Genomic DNA, 18,507 nt, shown 5'->3' with positions numbered 1-18,507 from the left:
CTGCGAACAAAAAACAAATTTAGTGTTAAAGATGGTTTCTACATACGGTTAATGATCTTTAACAAAATACTCTCAAATACATCATTCCAAATTAAAGTCTTGTGTAATGTGTATTTTGAAATATTCTCATTTAGTAACAATTTGTACATTGAATATTGATATTAGATTGAGAAACAGAAGTTAATTTTTTCTTTTTTTTTTTTTTTTTTTAAGATGGAGTCTCCCTGTTTCGTCCAGGCTGGAGTGCAGTAGCTCGATCTCGGCCCACTGCAAGCTCCCGACTCCCGGGTTCACGCCATTCTCCTGCCTCAGCCTCCCGAGTAGCTGGGACTACAGGTGCCTGCCACCACGACCGGCTCATTTTTTTTATTTTTTTATAGAGATGGGGTTTCACCATGTTAGCCAGGATGGTCTCGATCTCCTGACGTGATTCGCCCGCCTTGGCCTCCCAAAGTGCTGGGATTACAGGCATGAGCCATTGTGCCCGGCCTAGAAATTAAATTTTTTATTGGTTGAACTTATCACTAAGGTAATATAACTAAAAGGCACTAACGAGGCCAGGTGCAGTGGCTCATGCCTGTAATCCCAACACTTTGGGAGGCTGAGGCAGGTGGATCACCTGAGGCCAGGAGTTTGAGACCAGCCTGGCCAACATGGTGAAACCCCGTCTCTACTAAAAATACAAAAAGTAGCCAGGTGTGGTGGCAGGTGCCTGTCATCCCAGCTACTCGGGAGGCTGAGCCAGGAGAATCATTTGAACCTAGGAGGTGGAGGTTGCAGTGAGCTATCATGCCACTGCACTCCAGCCTGGATGACACTCCAGCCTGGATGACAGAGGGAGACTCTGCCTTAAAAAAAAAAAACAGAACACTAATGAAAGTGTTTTGTTTTCCACTTTGCAAACAGAAGAATGAACTGGACTTACAAAGTTTGCTGATGTTCTCTGCTTCTACATACATGTTTAGTACATCTCTAGTTACTATAACATTTGCTAACTTAACTGCTACCACTTCGTAGGTTTCTACTTTATTTGTTAGGTAGTAGGACTCTGATCCAAGAACTTACAGAAGGAGAGAAATTATTAAAGTAATTAGCATATTGTAGCTAACTGATATTTAATAATTTTTCAGGTTAGATGACAACATGGTTAATATTAATACTAATTCAGTGACTTCCCATTGGCAGCTTGAAATTGGCCTGGGTAGGGGTATTTACAAAGGCAGGTGTTCAGATCAGTTGCTTGATTTAGACAAGTTATTTTACTCTTCTTGGACCAGATCCTTCAGGAGTGGAAAGGGCTAACAGTTTATTTTCAATGAAGGTGAGAAGTATCCCCATATGGATTCCTTTCCCTCAAAATGCAAGCAAAGAAAAATAAATTCTGAAGGTTGCCTATTACTTACTGTAAGTGTTAAGGGAGAATTTTCATGAATCTTCATAGTAAAGCAGGTAGCAAATATATGTTCATTTCTTTTAAATCATGTTTCACTTATAAATTCCACAGAAGCATTACTGATAAGTGAGTTAGTAAAATTTTAACCTACTTACCGTCAGAAGACATTAACTCATCAATGATATCTCCACTAATAGATCCTGCTGGAAACAGTAATAAAGTTTTGTTATATTTCTGTTAACAGTAAAAGATACTCATATTTAAACACAAGTAGTCACAGCAGCAGCTTGACTGACATGCACATTTATTTAAAGTACTAGTACTTTGTGGACAGGTTGTTTTCATGAGCGCTTACTCTGTGCCTGGCATTACTTTTAAACTTCCAAACTCCAGACGAAGACCAAAAGACTCATTATCTGCCAGGCATGGTGGCTCATGCTTATAATTCTAGCACTTTGGGAGGCTGAGTGAGGTGGACGGATTGCTTGAGCTCAGGAGTTCAGACCAGCCTGGGCAACATAGTGAAATCCGTCTTTACAAAAAATACAAAAAAATTAGCCAGACATTCATGGCACGTGCCTATAGTCCCAACTACTTGGGAGACTGAGGTGGGAGGATCACTTGAGGCTGCAGTGAGCTGAGATCGCGCCACTGCATTCCAGCCTGGCTGACAAAGTGAGACCCTGCCAAAAAAAAAAAAAAAAAAAAAAAAAAAACAACAACAAACCTCATCATCATTCTACCAAAACTGACTCAGTTTTAGTCAGTAGTTTCATAATTCTCCCAGTTATTCAACCTTAAAACTTCAACATCACTTTCCATTCCTGTTAACTTTATCTCCAGATCTCACACATCAAATGTTATTTTGCCTACAGTGTTTCTCAAATCTGTTCGTTATTTCTCTTCCTGATCTCACTGTAATCACTGTTTTAGCCTTTTTATTTATTTATTTATTTTGAGACAGGATCTCGCTCTGTCACTCAGGCTGGAGTACATTAAGTGCTGTCAGGGCTCACTGCAGCCTTGACCTCCCAGGCTTGCAATCCTCCCACTTTGGCCTCCCTCCCCAGTAGCTGGGACCACAGGCACACGTCACAATGCCTAGCTAATTTTTAATTTTTTTTTTTTTTTTTTTTTTTAGAGATAGGGTCTCACTGTATTGCCCAGGTTGGTCTCAAATTCCTGGGCTCAAGCAGTGTACCTGCCTCGGCCTCCCAAAGTGTTGGGATTACAGGCATGAGCCCCACCACACTTGGCCCTTGTTTTAGCCCTAATGTTCTCTCAGTTGCATAACTGCAAACATCTACAGTTTCCATCGCTTCTGAATTCTGCTTCCCAGGGCCAAAAGCATCTTTCCTAATCATATTACTCCTGTGTGCACCATTATAGCTAATTATGCTATTTCCTTGGTCACAGATCTTCACTGGTTTATTGGATAAATGTCCTAACTACTCTGAAATTCAAGGCCTGCTCTAATGTAGCCCAAAATTACTTTCCTTAGTTAGGATTTCCAAACATGAAACCATAAAAACAGAATACTCACTTTTTAAAAACACTTTGTTGAAGCCAGTGTGTTAATTATGTCTAAGCTAACCCAGGTAAAACCCATGTAAAGCTTGCCTGCTTTATATCCTAATTAGATTGTAAGCTTTTTAAGGACTACATTTTCTTTTTTTTTTTTTTTAAGATGGAGTCTTACTCTGTCGCCCAGACTGGAGTGGTGCGATCTCGGCTCACTGCAACCTCCAACTCCTGGGTTCAAGCAATTCTCCTGCCTCAGCTTTCCAAGTAGCTGGGACTACAGGTGTGCGCCGCCACACCCAGCTAATTTTTGTATTTTTTAGTAGAGACAGGGCTTCACTATATGTTGGCAAGACTGGTCTCGAACCCCTGACCTCAGGTAATCTGCCTGCCTTGGCTTCCCTAAGTGCTGGGATTACAGTTGTGAGCCACCACGCCCAGCCAGCACTACCTTTTCTATTGTGCATCCTAATGGTCTGTAGTATAGACATATTTATAGGGGAAAGAAAGGAATAGATGTGGGCAAAAAGAAGCTAAAAAACATTCCATGTCCAGTTATATCTTGTTAGCGTCACTTTTAACCTGTGAAATCCCATTTTAGCAATGAGACACATCCTAGAGGTAAAATAAACAATTTGGATTATATACAATATAGTTTTAAATTATCTGCAATATGATGTCTATATTGGCACCATTCATTCATTCATTCATTCAGTAGTCACTGAGAGATTGCCTACCATGCTCCCTTTATTTGGAATCAGTAAGGTACTGCCAAATTAAGAGTTGTGCTCTCTACTCCTGATACCCAGTGTGAAATGTTTTAGCTTTTTAAAATTTCATAAATGAAACAAATGAGGAAAGTAAGATTTCCTACATAATTGGAGTTGAGACCATTTATCACTTCTATAAAACTAAGCTTCCCAAATAAAAAGTATAACAAAGAATATGGAGAAACAAGAGGCATAAGTCACTATGGTCCATACTTAAAGATAGTTGGAACATATTTTCTTAAAGGTAGTTGGAACATATTTCACTAATTTATCCTAGACTTACTAAGAGAGATAAAAGAACCTTACCAAGTAAACTTCAGGTAAAAGCTGAAATCTACATATGCCACAAATGGAAAATTCCACACCTGACCTTGTGATAGGCTGCAGTCAAGCCACAGTCAATATTTTGTTTCATGCAAAAATTAAAACTATTGTATAAAATTATATTCAGGCTATGTGAATAAGGTGTGTATGAAACAAATGAATACTGTGTTTAGACTTGGGTCCTATCCCCAAGATATGTTATTATGTATATGCAAATATTCCAAAATGTCAAAAGTGCTTGGGACATTTCTGGTCACAAGCACTTTGGATAAGAGAGCCAACCTGTTTTTATATTTCTCCCTCTCTAATTTACAAAAGAAAGGCTCTGAACCCACCTGAAGATATATCTGTAGCTGATGTCTGCTGCAGAGCCTGGCTTCTTTCAGAGACATGTTGCTCAGGCAGATTTTGAGTTGCCATGCTGGATTTCTGTGGAGTCACTGGAGTCAAGGACTGGGAGGAAGGCTGTGTGAGGTCATCAGGTGGGGGAACAGGAAAAACCACGGGCTTAGATGAACTCGACTCTTTATTTATAAGCAGCACATGGATAGGTCCTGAATGACTCTTTAGATTGATCTGGTATTTCTTTTGTCCATTCTGACCCTTTGAAGTTATTGGGTATAAACAAATGTATAATTATTAACATTTCTAGCTAACTTAAGACAGTACAATAAGACAGGCAAAGCTATTAGGGACTTACTAAATTCACATAACACAATAAAGTCATTAAGTCAAAACACAAAAGTAGAGACATAGAGTAGAATGTAATTTTGAGGGCTCTAAACCACTAGTTTCTAAAAAGTAAGCTTTTCACAAATACTGATCATTAGAAACTCTCTGTTGTAGAATTCTGGCAACCATCTGTTGTTACCGTGTGTGACTATATAATAGGTCAGGGCCCAGCAATGCTCCAGGTATTCTCCATATACAGGAAATTTATCCCCTGGAGTTGGCCACCACAGATCTGGTCAGTTCAACATGCTTCACAAATCAAACTCTTTTTTTTCCCATCTGCAAGCACAAAGACAACTAATTTCTCCTACTGAGAAATAAATATAACATTCTTCCAGCTGAAAAAGTAATCTGTATCCTGAGGCTTCAGACTCCAGTAATACAAATGCCTAAATGTAAACTTTTTTAATAAGCGGGTGGGGGAAGGAGGTAGATAATATAGTAATCTTTTTCTACTCCCTTTTTTGGTTATTGCTTTCAAATTAGTTTGTTTTTAAAAATCTGAATCTGAAAACGAAAATCATGAAACTCATAGAGTCAATAAATGTCTTTGACTTAATAAGCCAGACAATGTTTTATAAAAGACCTAATTTAAAGGAATTGATTGTTGATATGTACATTGAACTTTTTCCTCAGTGGCAATTTTTATATCAATTGTAGATGTGTTGTTGTTGTTGTTGTTTTGATACAGAGTTTCACTCTTGTTGCCCAGGCTGGAGTGCAATGGCGCGATTTCGGCTCACTGCAACCACTGCCTCCTAGGTTGAAGCAATTCTGCTGCCTCAGCCTCCCAAGTAGCTGGGATTACAGGCATGCACCACCATGCCCGGCTAATTTTGTATTTTTAGTAGAGATGGGGTTTCACCATGTTGGTCAGGCTGGTCTTAAACTCCTGACCTCAAGTGATCCACCTGCCTTGGCCTCCCAAAGTGCTGAGATTACAGGCATGAGCCACTGCACCCAGCCCAATGTGGTCATTTTAACTTATTTTTATAGATTATTGGCCATATGATTAGTCATTTCTTGACATCCTCTAACTTAAAAAATTCAAATTTAAAATAATTTAATCAAAATGTTAAATCATTTTAAATCATTTGGTTACTTGGGGATAGATATCTTAGGGATAGGACCCAAGTCTAAACACAATATTCATTTGTTTCATACACACCTTATTCACATAGCCTGAAGATAATTTTATACAATAGTTTTAATTTTTGTATGAAACAAAAATCACTTGATAAAGCATTCTGATTACTTTTTAAAAATTGACTTTGAGCTAAATGATATCAATAAATGACTAAGGATATAGCCAATAATCTTTAAAATCATTTATGATTCATTTAGTTCTATAATTTTACCAAGGAATTAAAGACATACAAATTCAGCTATCAATACTTTTAGATAAAAACTTGACTAACTCACAGTGTTTACACAATTAGCTCACATTCAGCTAAAGAAAATATCCTTCTTGAGACAGTAGATTCATTTTTCCCACTTATATAAACATAAGTTATCCTACATACCATTTCTGGAATGGGTACCTCCAGTTGTGTACCAGAAGGTGCCTGAATGGCCAAAAGTGTATCACCTGGTCAAAAATAAATATAAAAAGTTACATAAAATACTGTTGATCATGGAATACAGTGGCAAGAATGTGGGCTCTGGAATCAGAGTGTTTGGTTCAATCCCAAACTAGGTGACCTTGAGCTTTGATTTTCAATTCTATAAAATGGGGGATACACAACCTACTGCATAGATTTATTTTGAGGATTAAATAAGATAATACATGTATTAGTATTATACATGGGTTAGCTGTATGATTCTCATTAACAAATTCAGCTCAAGTTGATTTTGCTTTGACTAAGACTCCTGTAAAGTCTGAGATTCTTAAGACCATTTAGCCTCAAATAACACTGTTCATTGGACTGAGGATAGTGGAGATTAGGTATGAGACACTGAAATGTTGAGCTTAAATGATTTTATTATTTTTGAAGCCAAATTCTACAACAAATCTCTGTTGAGTTGCAGATTAACAGAAGTCTCAGCAAACTTCCTTAAAAAACTCAGGAAATACAGTGGTAAAATAGAACAATAGTCCTATACTTATTTCCAACATAGTCTTACATAGAAAGTCAGATTCCACTTGATGAGGTACTTGGCAGAATCTTTTTAAATAGGTGGATAATACACATAAATTTAAATATGCACAATTTCATTTTACTTGTGCTATAATTTTGGGAACACACGTCCCCCCATTTTAGTTATATTAATAATTATAATTATTAACATGATATTGTTATTTTAAGGAGAAAACACAGGGGCAGCAAATTGCATAGGAATAGGTTTCCTGGTTATAAGATGGATTCACCTAATTCTTTCCTTATGGTTTCTTTGAGTTTCATTTGAGACCAGCATACTTGCATATAGTTTGATAAACAATGCTGATGAGAACCATGTTCTAGTTCAAGTTTGGTCACTAACTCTGTGACTGTGTGACAATGAAAGTTGCTTAATCCCGCTCTGATTTAGCTTGCCCTCTGTCCCTGTCCCCTTCCCCTTCCACACACAGTTGATCCCTACCAGTGGAGCTAATGAACTGAATGCTGTGAAAAGCAGCTATTCTCATGAAAACAGAAACAAAAGCAGTCTATCAATACACGGCATGGTGGAGTGAGACACAATGCCCACAACTTCTGAAAATAATGACAGGATGAGGACACAGGGAATTCTGAATCACCCTCCACTAAATAGGTTGAGAGGAAGAATGCAAGGAAAAGTCTAATGGTACTTACCATTAAAGCAATTACAGATGTCTTCATGAGTTACATAGGAAAATGTACTGTCATAGGAGTTAAGGAACGACATTTATATCAAGCCGTAGGCATTTAAATTAAGGTAATACATCTGAAGGTCAAAATAACTAAATGACCATATGCACAGAGGGACTGCCACACATGGACAGACAAAAAAAGAAGTCTAGTCTAGAAAGGTAAAGACAAAGGAGTTCCCATCCTTTGCTCTTAGAAGAAGCCATTCTGATTTTTGTGACATTTGAGGACCCTTAGGAGAGAGATGGAAAGCAGTGCACATTCTTCATGGAGGCAAAGGTTTCTGGGGGAAGGGAATGGATGGGGAAAAGGAGGCCATCAGCAACCATATCAGCTTCCACATCAGGAATTTTCTGTGATCGTTGTTTTTTGTTCTTGTATTAAATGGTCAGGTATGGCCACAAGAGGACACAGAGGATTAAAGAAAGGCTCAGAAAAACAAAGTATTATACTCATAGGTCCTAGTGACGGGAGGCAAGGCAGGCTACTCAGGGCCACATGGTTAAGACAACAAGGTGGTCAGGAGGCAGAAGACAGGAGCAAGGGGAAAGCATTAGCCCAGAGCTTTTATTGGGGTTTCCTTGGGAAAAGAAATGCAGGGTGGCTGGGCATGGTGGCTCACGCCACCCAGCACTTTGGGAGGCCGAGGCAGGTGGATCACTTGAGGTCAGGAGTTCAAGACCAGCCTGACCATATGCACAGAGGGGCTGCCACACATGGACAGATAAAAAAAGAAGTCTAGTCTAGAGATGGTGAAACCCATCTCTACTAAAATACAAAACTTAGCAGGGCATGGTGGTGAGCACCTGTAATCACAGCTACTCTGGAGGCTGAGGCAGAAGAATTGCTTAAACCCGGGGGGTGGAGGTTGCAGTGAGCCAAGATCGCATCACTGCACTCCAGCCTGGGCAACAGAGCGACTCCATCTCAGGAAAAAAAAAAAAGCAGGGTGGGGAGAACACTACGATTAGCTAGTCTGGATAATTTTGTTTTGTTTTATTTTGAGACGGAGTTTGCTCTATCGCCCAAGCTGAAGTGCAGTAGTGTGATCTTGGCTCACTGCAGCTTCTGCCTCCTGGGTTCAAGCAATTCTCCTATGGCCTCCCTGGTAGCTGGGATTACAGATGCACATTGCCATGCCCAGCTAGTTTTTGTACTTTTAGTACGGACAGGGTTTCACCCTGTTGGCCAGGCTGGTCTCAAACTCCTGACCTCAGGTGATCCGCCAACCTTGGCTTCCCAAAGTGCTGGGATTACAGGCGTGAGCCACTGCATTTGGCCTAGTTTGGATAATTTTGGTGGGCTCTAAGCTATGCAGGTAGTCCCCCAGTTGTCTGGTACCTGACCCTGGGATGATTAAGGCAGAGGAATATTGCCACCTGGGGTGTATGGACTGGAGAGAGGAGGTCTGGACCTTGACTGGTTAGTTTATATATCAAAGGGATGCTCCTGGCTGAGCCCATGCTGTTTCTTTTTTTTTAATTTTATTATTATTATACTTTAAGTTTTAGGGTACATGTGCACAACGTGCAGGTTTGTTACATATGTATACATGTGCCATGTTGGCGTGCTGCACCCAATAACTCGTCATTTAGCATTAGGTATATCTCATAATGCTCTCCCTCCCCCCTCCCCCCACCCCACAACAGTCCCTGGTGTGTGATGTTCCCCTTCCTGTGTCCATGTGTTCTCATTGTTCAATTCCCACCTATGAGTGAGAACATGAGGTGTTTGGTTTTTTTGTCCTTGCGATAGTTTGCTGAGAATGATGGTTTCCAGCGTCATCCATGACCCTAAAAAGGACATGAGCCCATGCTGTTTCTAAGAAGTGGCTAGTCCCAGGATGGGCAGTCTCTCCTCAGCCAGAAAGGTTTATGGAGATGTCAAAATACCATAATATACAGAAAACTTTATATATATCACACATAACCATGGTTGGGGCAATGGGAATGGCCAGCATCTCGTAAAGCAGGGCAGCGAAGTCCAAGATAAAATAGATTAATGGCTTTTGAATTTCAGAGCTCCACAGAACACAGCTTGAAAACTCCCATTGTTCTCAAACTGTTAAGGGGCTCTGATCCATACAAAGGAAATAACAAATGAGATCATGGACTTGTTCACCAAATACATGAAAATGTGAAAAGTAAATTATATTGTATACATTAGTCAAAATTTCATGAGGTGCTACAAGGTAAAATGTGGTTAGTTTCTTTAAGAGTACAGGTAAGTTCATAAACTAAGAGAATCACAGATACCTGAGAGAAGACGGTGGTTTGTAAGAAACACATGGATATGTGTTTTTATATATATAATAATGTTTTTATATATTATATATAAATATATTTTATATATTATATATGATATTATATGTATTATATATAATAATGTTTTTCCCCCAATATATATTGTTGATAGGCACACACGACTTAGACCCCTGTTCTCCAGTAGGAACTATTTTGGGGTTCATGTTAGGCAGAAAGTATCAAGGATTGATTGTGGACACATCATATCTCATCTTTAAACGAAAAATTTTCAAAACTTTGAGAGCTGCTGAATTTTATACTTCAGAACACTGAACATAATTATTTAAAAATACAAATGTACTTAACAATGGCTTCTAATATTCACAGATTTCCTAAGCACACTGGCTAGCATACTGCATTCTATCAATTGGTAGACCAAAAGTTGGCTAATCTCTTTTTCCCCCTCAGTGCAACACAGGAATAACGCTAACGGATCTGTACTATATAACTTAAAAAGGTAACATTTAGAAAATATTAGTATATAAGAATATAATAAAATTAAAATGTCATATTTACTTATAAAACTTAACTGTCTAAAAACAAAGTGAATGATCTTTAGACTGAAATGATTTATACATACATATTCCAAAGCTATATGTATATGCATAACTTATTTAAAAGGATATCTATTATTAATGGAATCGTCCATCACATTTTTGATGCTTTGCTGTAGCCACAACTTCTGCTGATCAAGTTCTCTTTCCTTCAGTTCTAGATCTTCAATTTCAGCTTTAAGATATCTTAATCTATCTATGACTTCTTTAGTATTACAGCCAGCACCTACACCTCTTAAAAACATATGAGAATTAATATCCTCAGTATCAGATCTAGGTTAATATCACTTAATTTTTACTGTAATAAAACTGACTTATTTAGTAATATATTCAAGACAGAAGTCTTTACACTCTTAAAATCAAGCACTAAAATCCTTAAAAATTTTAAACACCATACTTCTTGCTTAGAAAATTTATTGACAAGAACAACCAAATTACAAAAATTCTCAATCTTCCCTACAGTGTTTTTTTGTCATCTGGAAGGCCAGACTGGTTGGTGACTGGGTACCAAAAGAGTGTGCTCAGCAGTCACACCTAGCAGTCTCAGGATGTGACTGAGGTGCTGGTAAAATAAATTACAACATTTTAATGTTTTGGTGGAATTTTGGCGAAAACAAAACAAGACAAAAACTATGGTCAAAGGGGACACATTAGAAGAACAGAAATTGTTACATTCAAACGTATAACCAGGCCACAATTAATGACAACATGCGTTTCAATTAATTACTATTTACAAAGTACAAATTCCTATGAAAGTAGTTCTTGCTCTCAAGGACAGGTAAAGAGTTAGGAAGAGATTAATACAAGACAGTATGCAATGTGTGCCAAATGAGTAATAGCTTGAGGGAGAAAGTAAGATTTGAATTTTAAGAGCGAAAACCCAATATCCAAGAGAGCAAGGGAACACCCAACACAGGAGTGACACAGAGGCCCAGAAAGGTGTGTTCAGGGAAAGCTGAGGGGCCTGACTGAAATAGAGGATTTGGGAGATAGAAACATTGGGAAGGTCAAATTTTACAGAGCACTGAGAAGAAAAAAGGTTTCAGAAGAGGGTGCTGGTTTGTAACTTACTTCCACTGGATACTGTTTTTTGACTTTTTTTCAATCAAGTCAATTCCCTCTAAGACATTGGTGATATCATAAATTCTCCTTTTTTGCCTCACAGCCAAAGTATCAGCAGCCTGTTCAGGAAAGACAACGAGAACAGTGAAATAAAGGGCAAGTCATATTTTAAAGCCAAAAAGGGTTGATTATTAAATCCACAACAAGTCCAATCTCAAATTTGACCCACTCAGTTGCTTGGGGACAATAGCTGAGCATGTTCAAAGCATCTCCCAAACACTGCAAATACCAAAGAAATTATTCCATTTAAAAGCTAGCAGATGTTGGAACAGAAAAAGAAATTAAGGTCATGACACAAAGCCTGCAAAAATAAAAGAACACAATAAGAATACTTTGTGTCACCTTATGGACTAATCCTGAGGAGGAGCTACTAATTGCCTATCCATGTCACCTCCTATCTTATTTCTCTGTTCATAAACAGTCTCATCTAAAGATGCATTACTTATTTTTTAAAATTTTAAAGAATTACATCTCAGCAATTTATTTTGGTAATTAAGACACTTGGAAATTCTGAACTATATGCACACTTATAATACCTTGAAATAAATATCTACATTTTTAAATTAATAACGAAAACAGAGGAATGAATCATGCCATCCTAACACAAAGCATAAAATCAGCAAGAAATCAGAATCAATAGCTCAAGATTGCACTAGCAACTATTATACAAAAACTTGGTAGCTGCATTCACATTAGATAAGATCAACAAAACAATATATGCTATCATGTTATGAATTCAACAAACAATTCCTCTGATTAGTTCCAATTCACATTTTTGATGTGTGTTCCCAAAAGAACAAAGAGAACCTCAAAGAAGTTTTCAGAGTGGATTAGACAATAGCCTATTTTGAATGTGGAGCCACATTTTAAGATCCATGGTAGTTACAAATATTTGTGTCTCTACTGACAATTTTCAGCACATTATCTAAAATATCTAAATGAACAGGATTTAGCTTCACATAATTGCTAACAGCTCTCCCAGCTTCGCATAATTGCTAACAGCTCTCCCAGAGAGCATCACTACTTTCTTGATTCTGTGAAAACCTAGCTCAGCACAGTGTTTGCAATCTGGACCTGCCTTCCCCCCAGAGAAGGTGCCACTGACAGCTATATTCACTGTACAGGCATTTGGGATCTTAAGAGAAATGTCAGTTCTCTCAGACACATTTTTTTGTATGTGCCACCAAAACCCCCAGGTTACTGCTGTCCCATCATTCAGGTCTTCCTCAAGAAGGGGATTCATGCCTCAGTGGACCAGGAGAATAAGCAGGATGTGGCAGAAGAAGGAAAAGCAGGAGAGTGGGGCTCTTTGTTCCCCAACTCTAACTTGGCACTGTCCCTTCTAGAGAACCAGAAAATTAACAGCAGGACTAGCCATGGTTTGTTTCATTGATACCTTCTTCCCTTGTACTTAGCAATTCCCTTCTTGTTTTATCGACCTTCACAGAATTTTTACTCTTGACTTCGAGGCTGTTTTTATGAAGAGCAATACACGACTGCAAAGTTAACGGTACAAATCTGAAGCTGAGGTTTCATTTCTCACTTTCCTCTCTCTAGAGAAGTAACTCAGAGAACTCCAAGCCATGGCTCTGTGTTACTGGTATCTATGTACTCACACAGAAAAGCATTCACAGCCATAGCAACAGCACTCTGGTTTTGGTATCAGAACATGTTTGTATGAACCAGACCACAAGATCTAGCTTAGGTCATTAGGCAAAGTGCCATGAGATTTAATTTTTAGCTCAAAGTTTTAAAAAGGTGTCTTGTTTATCATTTATATTTATTACTGCTTAACAATCACAACATTTAACCCCTAGTTTCTAAAACTAAACATTATTTCTCAAATACTTTACTATTTAAGTATGTAAACATATAAATGACTAACATGTACAGATCATATGTAAAAGAATCTCCAGGAGGGTTTTATTTTAGAAAGTCCCATCATTCTTTTTTTTTTTTGAGACAGAGTCTCCCTCTCTTGCCGAAGCTGGAGTGCAGTGGTGTGATCTTGGCTCACTGCAACCTCCACCACCTGGGTTCAACTGATTCTCCTGCCTCAGCCTCCCAAGTAGCTGGGACTACAGGTGTGTACCACCACGACTGGCTAATTTTTGTATTTTTAGTAGAGACGAGGTTTCACCATGTTGGCCAGGCTGGTCTTGAGCTCCTGACCCCAGATGATCCACCCACCTCGACCTCCCAAAGTGCTGAGATTACAAGTGTGAGCCATGGCACCCAGCCAGTCCCATCATTCTTAAGAAGTTCTGAAGCTAAACACACTGAGATCCAGTCCCAGGGCTGCCACTTCCTATCTTCAGCTGGCCTCATCGTAAGCTCACTAAGCCTCATTTCCTTTTTCATAAAATGGTATAACATATACTGAAAGGAGTATTGTGGGAATTAAACTGGATAATCTTACCGCAATGTCTACTGTATAGTGATTACTTAAATGTTGGCTAGTCAGCCTCATCATCAAATACAGGTTGAAACGGATCGTGGGTAAGACTGTGTTTAAGATTGGTTAAAGTTTGTGTGTATACAGATTTACCTTGTTTTATATAGTGTTTGAAAAAGTTGTGTGTGAATTCTTTAAAAACTAATTTGGGGCTTTAATATCTAACAGAATAATACCATGAATCTCCACCACCACCACCACCACCACTATCACCACTACCTTCCTCCATTCATTTAACACCAAAATGTTCCAGGCTTGGTTCTGGGTCTTAAAGATATAGATGTGACAGAACAAAGTCCCTGCCCTCAAAGAAGAGAGGGAAGTTAATAATATACAAATAATTATGTTTGGAGAGAATGCAGGCAAGAGGAAGGTGCTATATCAAATAGGATTTTCAGGGAAAGAGCTCTCTGACAAGGTGACATCTGAACATTTGAATGGAGTAGGAGACCCCTGTGAATGTTTGGTGGTAGAGCATTCTGGGCAGAGGAAGCAGCAAGCACGAAGGTTCTGAAGTGTGAGGGGTGCTTAGCTTCTTCAAGGAGAGGCAGGCAGGCCAGTGTGGCAGAATAATGAGAGGGAAAATGGAAAAAGGAGATAAAGACAGGAAAGGAGACCAACAAGATGGCGATGGCAATAATCCATGCAGGAGATGGTAGTGGCTTGGATGGAGGGGTAGCTATGAAGATGGTGAAAAATGTTAACATTCTGGATATATTTTGAAGGTATGGCAAGCAGCAGGTCCCTAGAGAGGAATCAGAAATGACTTCAGTTTTTGATAAGAGCAATTACAAATAAGGTATACTACAGAAGGAACCAGTTTGGAGCACTGGAAATAAAGAAACTGGCCTTGAACCTTCTGACATCCACAGGGAGAAAGCAAGACCACTGGACACGAGAGTGTGTGCTTAGGGGAGAGATCCAAGCTAGAGATATAAATTCAGTAGTCTTCAGCGAATAGACAGTTTATACCACAAGATGGAATCCACTAGTTTGACATAGGAGGTGAGCATATAAGGGAAGGTTAAGAACCAACTCTGGGGAAGTTTAAGGTCCAGGAAATGAGGGAGCAACCTGCCACTGAAGTCAGAAGAAAATCAGAAAGTGTGGGGTCTTGGAATCCAAGGGAAGAGAGTGTAAGAAAGTGTGACCATATCAAGTATTGCTGTCAGAGCAAGTTAGTGAGAACTGATCAGTGATTTGCCTTTGGAAAGATCATGGGTGACTTTGATCAGAGCTGTTTTGGCAGAGAGGTGGGGCTGAAAGTCTTAATGGAGAAATTTCAAGAAAGAATGGAAAGAAAGCTAGAATAGACAACTCTTGAAGAGTTCTGCTGCAAAGAGGTAAGAAGAAATGGGGCAATATTTTTAGGGAACTGTGGGGTCTCCAGGAAGTTTTTTTTTTTCCTTTTAAAGATGGGAGCTATTTCAACATGTGAGTATGCTGATAGGAATGATCTGGTAAAGAAAGAGGAATCATTAACAATGCAGAAGAGAGAAGGGATGACTGCTAGAGGTGGCAATAAGTAGGGAAGGCAGGATGTGAATTCAATAAGTGAGGACTGTCCTTAGATAATAACAGGGCATATTAATAACTGAAGTCCAGCAGAGTACCTGGGTACAGATATAGGTACATTAGTAGACCAGGTAGGGAGAAAGGTTAGACATTTCCTTCTGGTTGATTTTTATTCTCTCATCAGCACTGGGATCGGGGAGAAAGGAAAGGAGCTATTAATGGTTGAGAGGAGAGAAGAAAGTACAAAATATTCATATAAAAAAGCAAGACAATAGGTAGCATGGAAGGAACGCTGGACAGCACTACTGGCCCCTTTGTAGTTGGTGATCATGAATTTAAAGTGAGACCTATCAGCATTATTTTGCATTTTCCTCCAGCCCTGGACAGTTGCCTGGGTACAGACAAGGGGTAGGTGGAGAGCAAAGCAAGTCACCATTCCCAACCCATGCTTGCCACTGTAACTGTTGAATAAGTATATATATTTCTTAATCACATTTACTTTAAAAGGCTACATTTACTCTCATAGGATTTTACCTATACAGCCATAAAGGAAGCATCTAATTGTATCACATTAACTCAGTTTACAGAAAAAAACAAACAAAAATATTCCTCTGAAAGAATTAGATCTCCCTTCCAAATATTAAATCCTGTTCTAAAAATATGATAAACAAAGGTGAACAAAGCAATGTCTATAGGTGGAACAAAATTAAAGTCTGCAATGCTTCTAAGAGGTGCTCAAGACAAATGAACCAGGAAAGCTGAGATAGGTAGTCCATAAGTGCTAAAAACGGCTTTAATAATCATGAGGCCACGTCCCTTCATTTGAACAAATGAGTCCACTAAGACCCAGTGTTAACTCTGGATAGGGAGAAACATTATGTGGTAGCTTTATTTGAGTTAGGATTAGCTAAGGCTCATTGGCTCAGGCTTGTTCTTCTGATGGACCATGATGTTGTATTAAAAAGGCTAATATCAAAACAATAATAGGAAACATCCTGTCTTTCAGGTTCTTCACCTGCAAAGCAGGTACTTTATTTGCTGTCTTCCAAAATCACAAAAGTCAATACATATGCACTCAATAGTTTAGCTACTGTGATTCAGAAACGAACACTATGATGAAGCAGGCCAGAATCCCAAAATAAAAAATGTGCAACAGAAGTACTATATAAAACCAATCAGTTCCACTTGAAAAGAAGATGGGAAGGCCCCCAACTGATGCTCCAAAATTGCCTATATTTTAATGAGAATTAAAATAAAAACTGAAAGAACTTGCTTTCAACTGAGCCACATGGTACTTTATGTTGATCTATTTCATGATGAGGTTTGGACTAATTATTACTTAATTTTAAACACTGTTAAAGATAATTTATATCTTTAGATGTTAATGCAGAATGTTTTATTTCAATCCACAATTAAGAGGAACCTTTTATAAGCCAGTAACAGGATAATTGTGTAATAGAATCTTACAGAGACATTATCTAATTTAATGCTCATGGCAGCTTTAGTGTTCTCCCTGTTATACTGGAAACAGATCCACAAAGCTAATGAATGATCAAGGTGGAATTTAGCATTAACTGCATATTCATAAATACATTTGTGGTAAAACATTTTTAAATGGACTTATATGATTTCAAATGACTTTAAATAAATTTGGTACACAGCCAAAAGTTTCCAAGTTATATAACTGCATTGAAGAAGCAATTCAAATAACAATGGTCTACAGGAAGTTTCATATCAAGTGTATAAAATGGCCTGAAAAAACAGAAAGATCTTAATTTCCACTTATTATTGAAAAATAATAAACAGTAACAAAAAATTGCATACATGTCTAAAGCTCTGGGATTGTGACCAACACTTTATAGAATGAGGTTTAAAAAATGAAATAGTACCTAAAGTAGACAAAATGTTATAAGAGATAGAAAAATGAGAGATTACTTAAGGTGGGAGCAAACAGGAAATAGTTCCTGGAGGTGGCCACTATGTGTTTTCAATGGGTCTGTAAGGGCTACCAAATCAATAAGGAAATTAAATATAAAAGAATAAATAACTTACTTTAAAGACGCAAAGCGCTCCCTCCAGGAGCCGCATGTTTCAATTCCCAGTCACTACTCTACCACAAGGAAATCTCTCCTTAAAAAATCTTCAGGGGTCGTCTTGTCACTCCAAACTAACTGCTACTGTATTTGATATTTTTGAAATGCATAAGCTTTAAATTTTTAAAAAAAAATTTTTAATAAACTTTGTATAAACTTTTAAAAAAGGAAATTCATTTCTATTGTCTTACCAACAGAAATCATCAAAGATGACTCAAATGAAAAAAAGATATTTGATAAAGTGCCTATTTAACTAGGACAATAATGCTGAACCTCAGAAACCTATAAATTATTAAGATCTAGAGACTGCTTGCCTACATTTTCAATTGCATACTTTGAAAATTCTCTTGGCCGATGCAGTGGCTCATGCCTGTAATCCTAGCACTTTGAGAGGCTGAGGTATGAGGATTGCTTGAGCCCAGTAGTTTGAGACCAGTCTGGGTAACAGAGAAAGCTCCCCATCTCTACAAAAAAAAATTAAAAAAATTAGCCAGACAAGTTGGTACGTGCCTGCAGTCCCAGCTATTTGGGAGGCTAAAGTCGAAGAATCACTAGAACCCAGGAGGTTGAGGTTGCAGTGGGCCATGACTGCACCACTGCACTCTAGCCTGGGTGACAGAGTGAGACCCTGTCTCAAAAAGGAAAAAAAGAAAAAATAAATAATAATTCTTTTAAGTATTAACTTCCTAAAACAGGAGAAAGATTAAGTGTGAATCTGCTATTCTATTACTGAGATTTGCACCTACTTTTTCTTTTTTTTGAGACAGAGTCTTGCTCTGCTGTTCAAGCTGGAGTGCAGTAGCACAGTCTTGGCTCACTGCAACCTCCGCCTCCTGGGTGCAAACAATTCTCCTGCCTCAGCCTCCTGAGTAGCTGGGACTACAGGTGCATGCCACC

The 18,507-nt window shown here is 38.4% G+C and overlaps 1 protein-coding gene across 3 annotated transcripts in view, besides 1 other annotated feature; it reads right to left on the bottom strand.

Annotated features, from left to right (window-relative positions):
- The window catches only part of E2F5 (E2F transcription factor 5), a 37,365-nt gene that overhangs the window by 766 nt on the left and 18,092 nt on the right, over positions 1–18,507 (bottom strand). For 2 of the 3 annotated variants that reach the window (NM_001951.4, NM_001083589.2), the window contains exons 2-7: positions 11,497–11,606; positions 10,498–10,659; positions 7,533–7,576; positions 6,264–6,328; positions 4,344–4,611; positions 1,549–1,596 (exon numbers count right to left, since the gene is read on the bottom strand). In NM_001951.4, coding sequence (NP_001942.2) covers positions 1,549–1,596; positions 4,344–4,611; positions 6,264–6,328; positions 7,533–7,576; positions 10,498–10,659; positions 11,497–11,606 — 697 coding nt within the window. The remainder of the gene's footprint in view (positions 1–1,548; positions 1,597–4,343; positions 4,612–6,263; positions 6,329–7,532; positions 7,577–10,497; positions 10,660–11,496; positions 11,607–18,507) is intronic. The other variant, NM_001083588.2, reaches the window with a different exon arrangement.
- Positions 13,094–13,153: a silencer, noted in NCBI's record as "silent region_19335". NCBI's record gives its function as "represses an Ori minimal core promoter by ATAC-STARR-seq in GM12878 lymphoblastoid cells {active_cell/tissue: GM12878}" and the evidence as "EXISTENCE:reporter gene assay evidence [ECO:0000049][PMID:35858748]".

This window comes from Homo sapiens, chromosome 8, assembly GCF_000001405.40.
Source record: "Homo sapiens chromosome 8, GRCh38.p14 Primary Assembly".
Taxonomy (NCBI): domain Eukaryota; kingdom Metazoa; phylum Chordata; class Mammalia; order Primates; family Hominidae; genus Homo; species Homo sapiens.
Note: the sequence above shows the minus strand (reverse complement) of the source record. Positions and strands in the feature narration are given on the sequence as shown.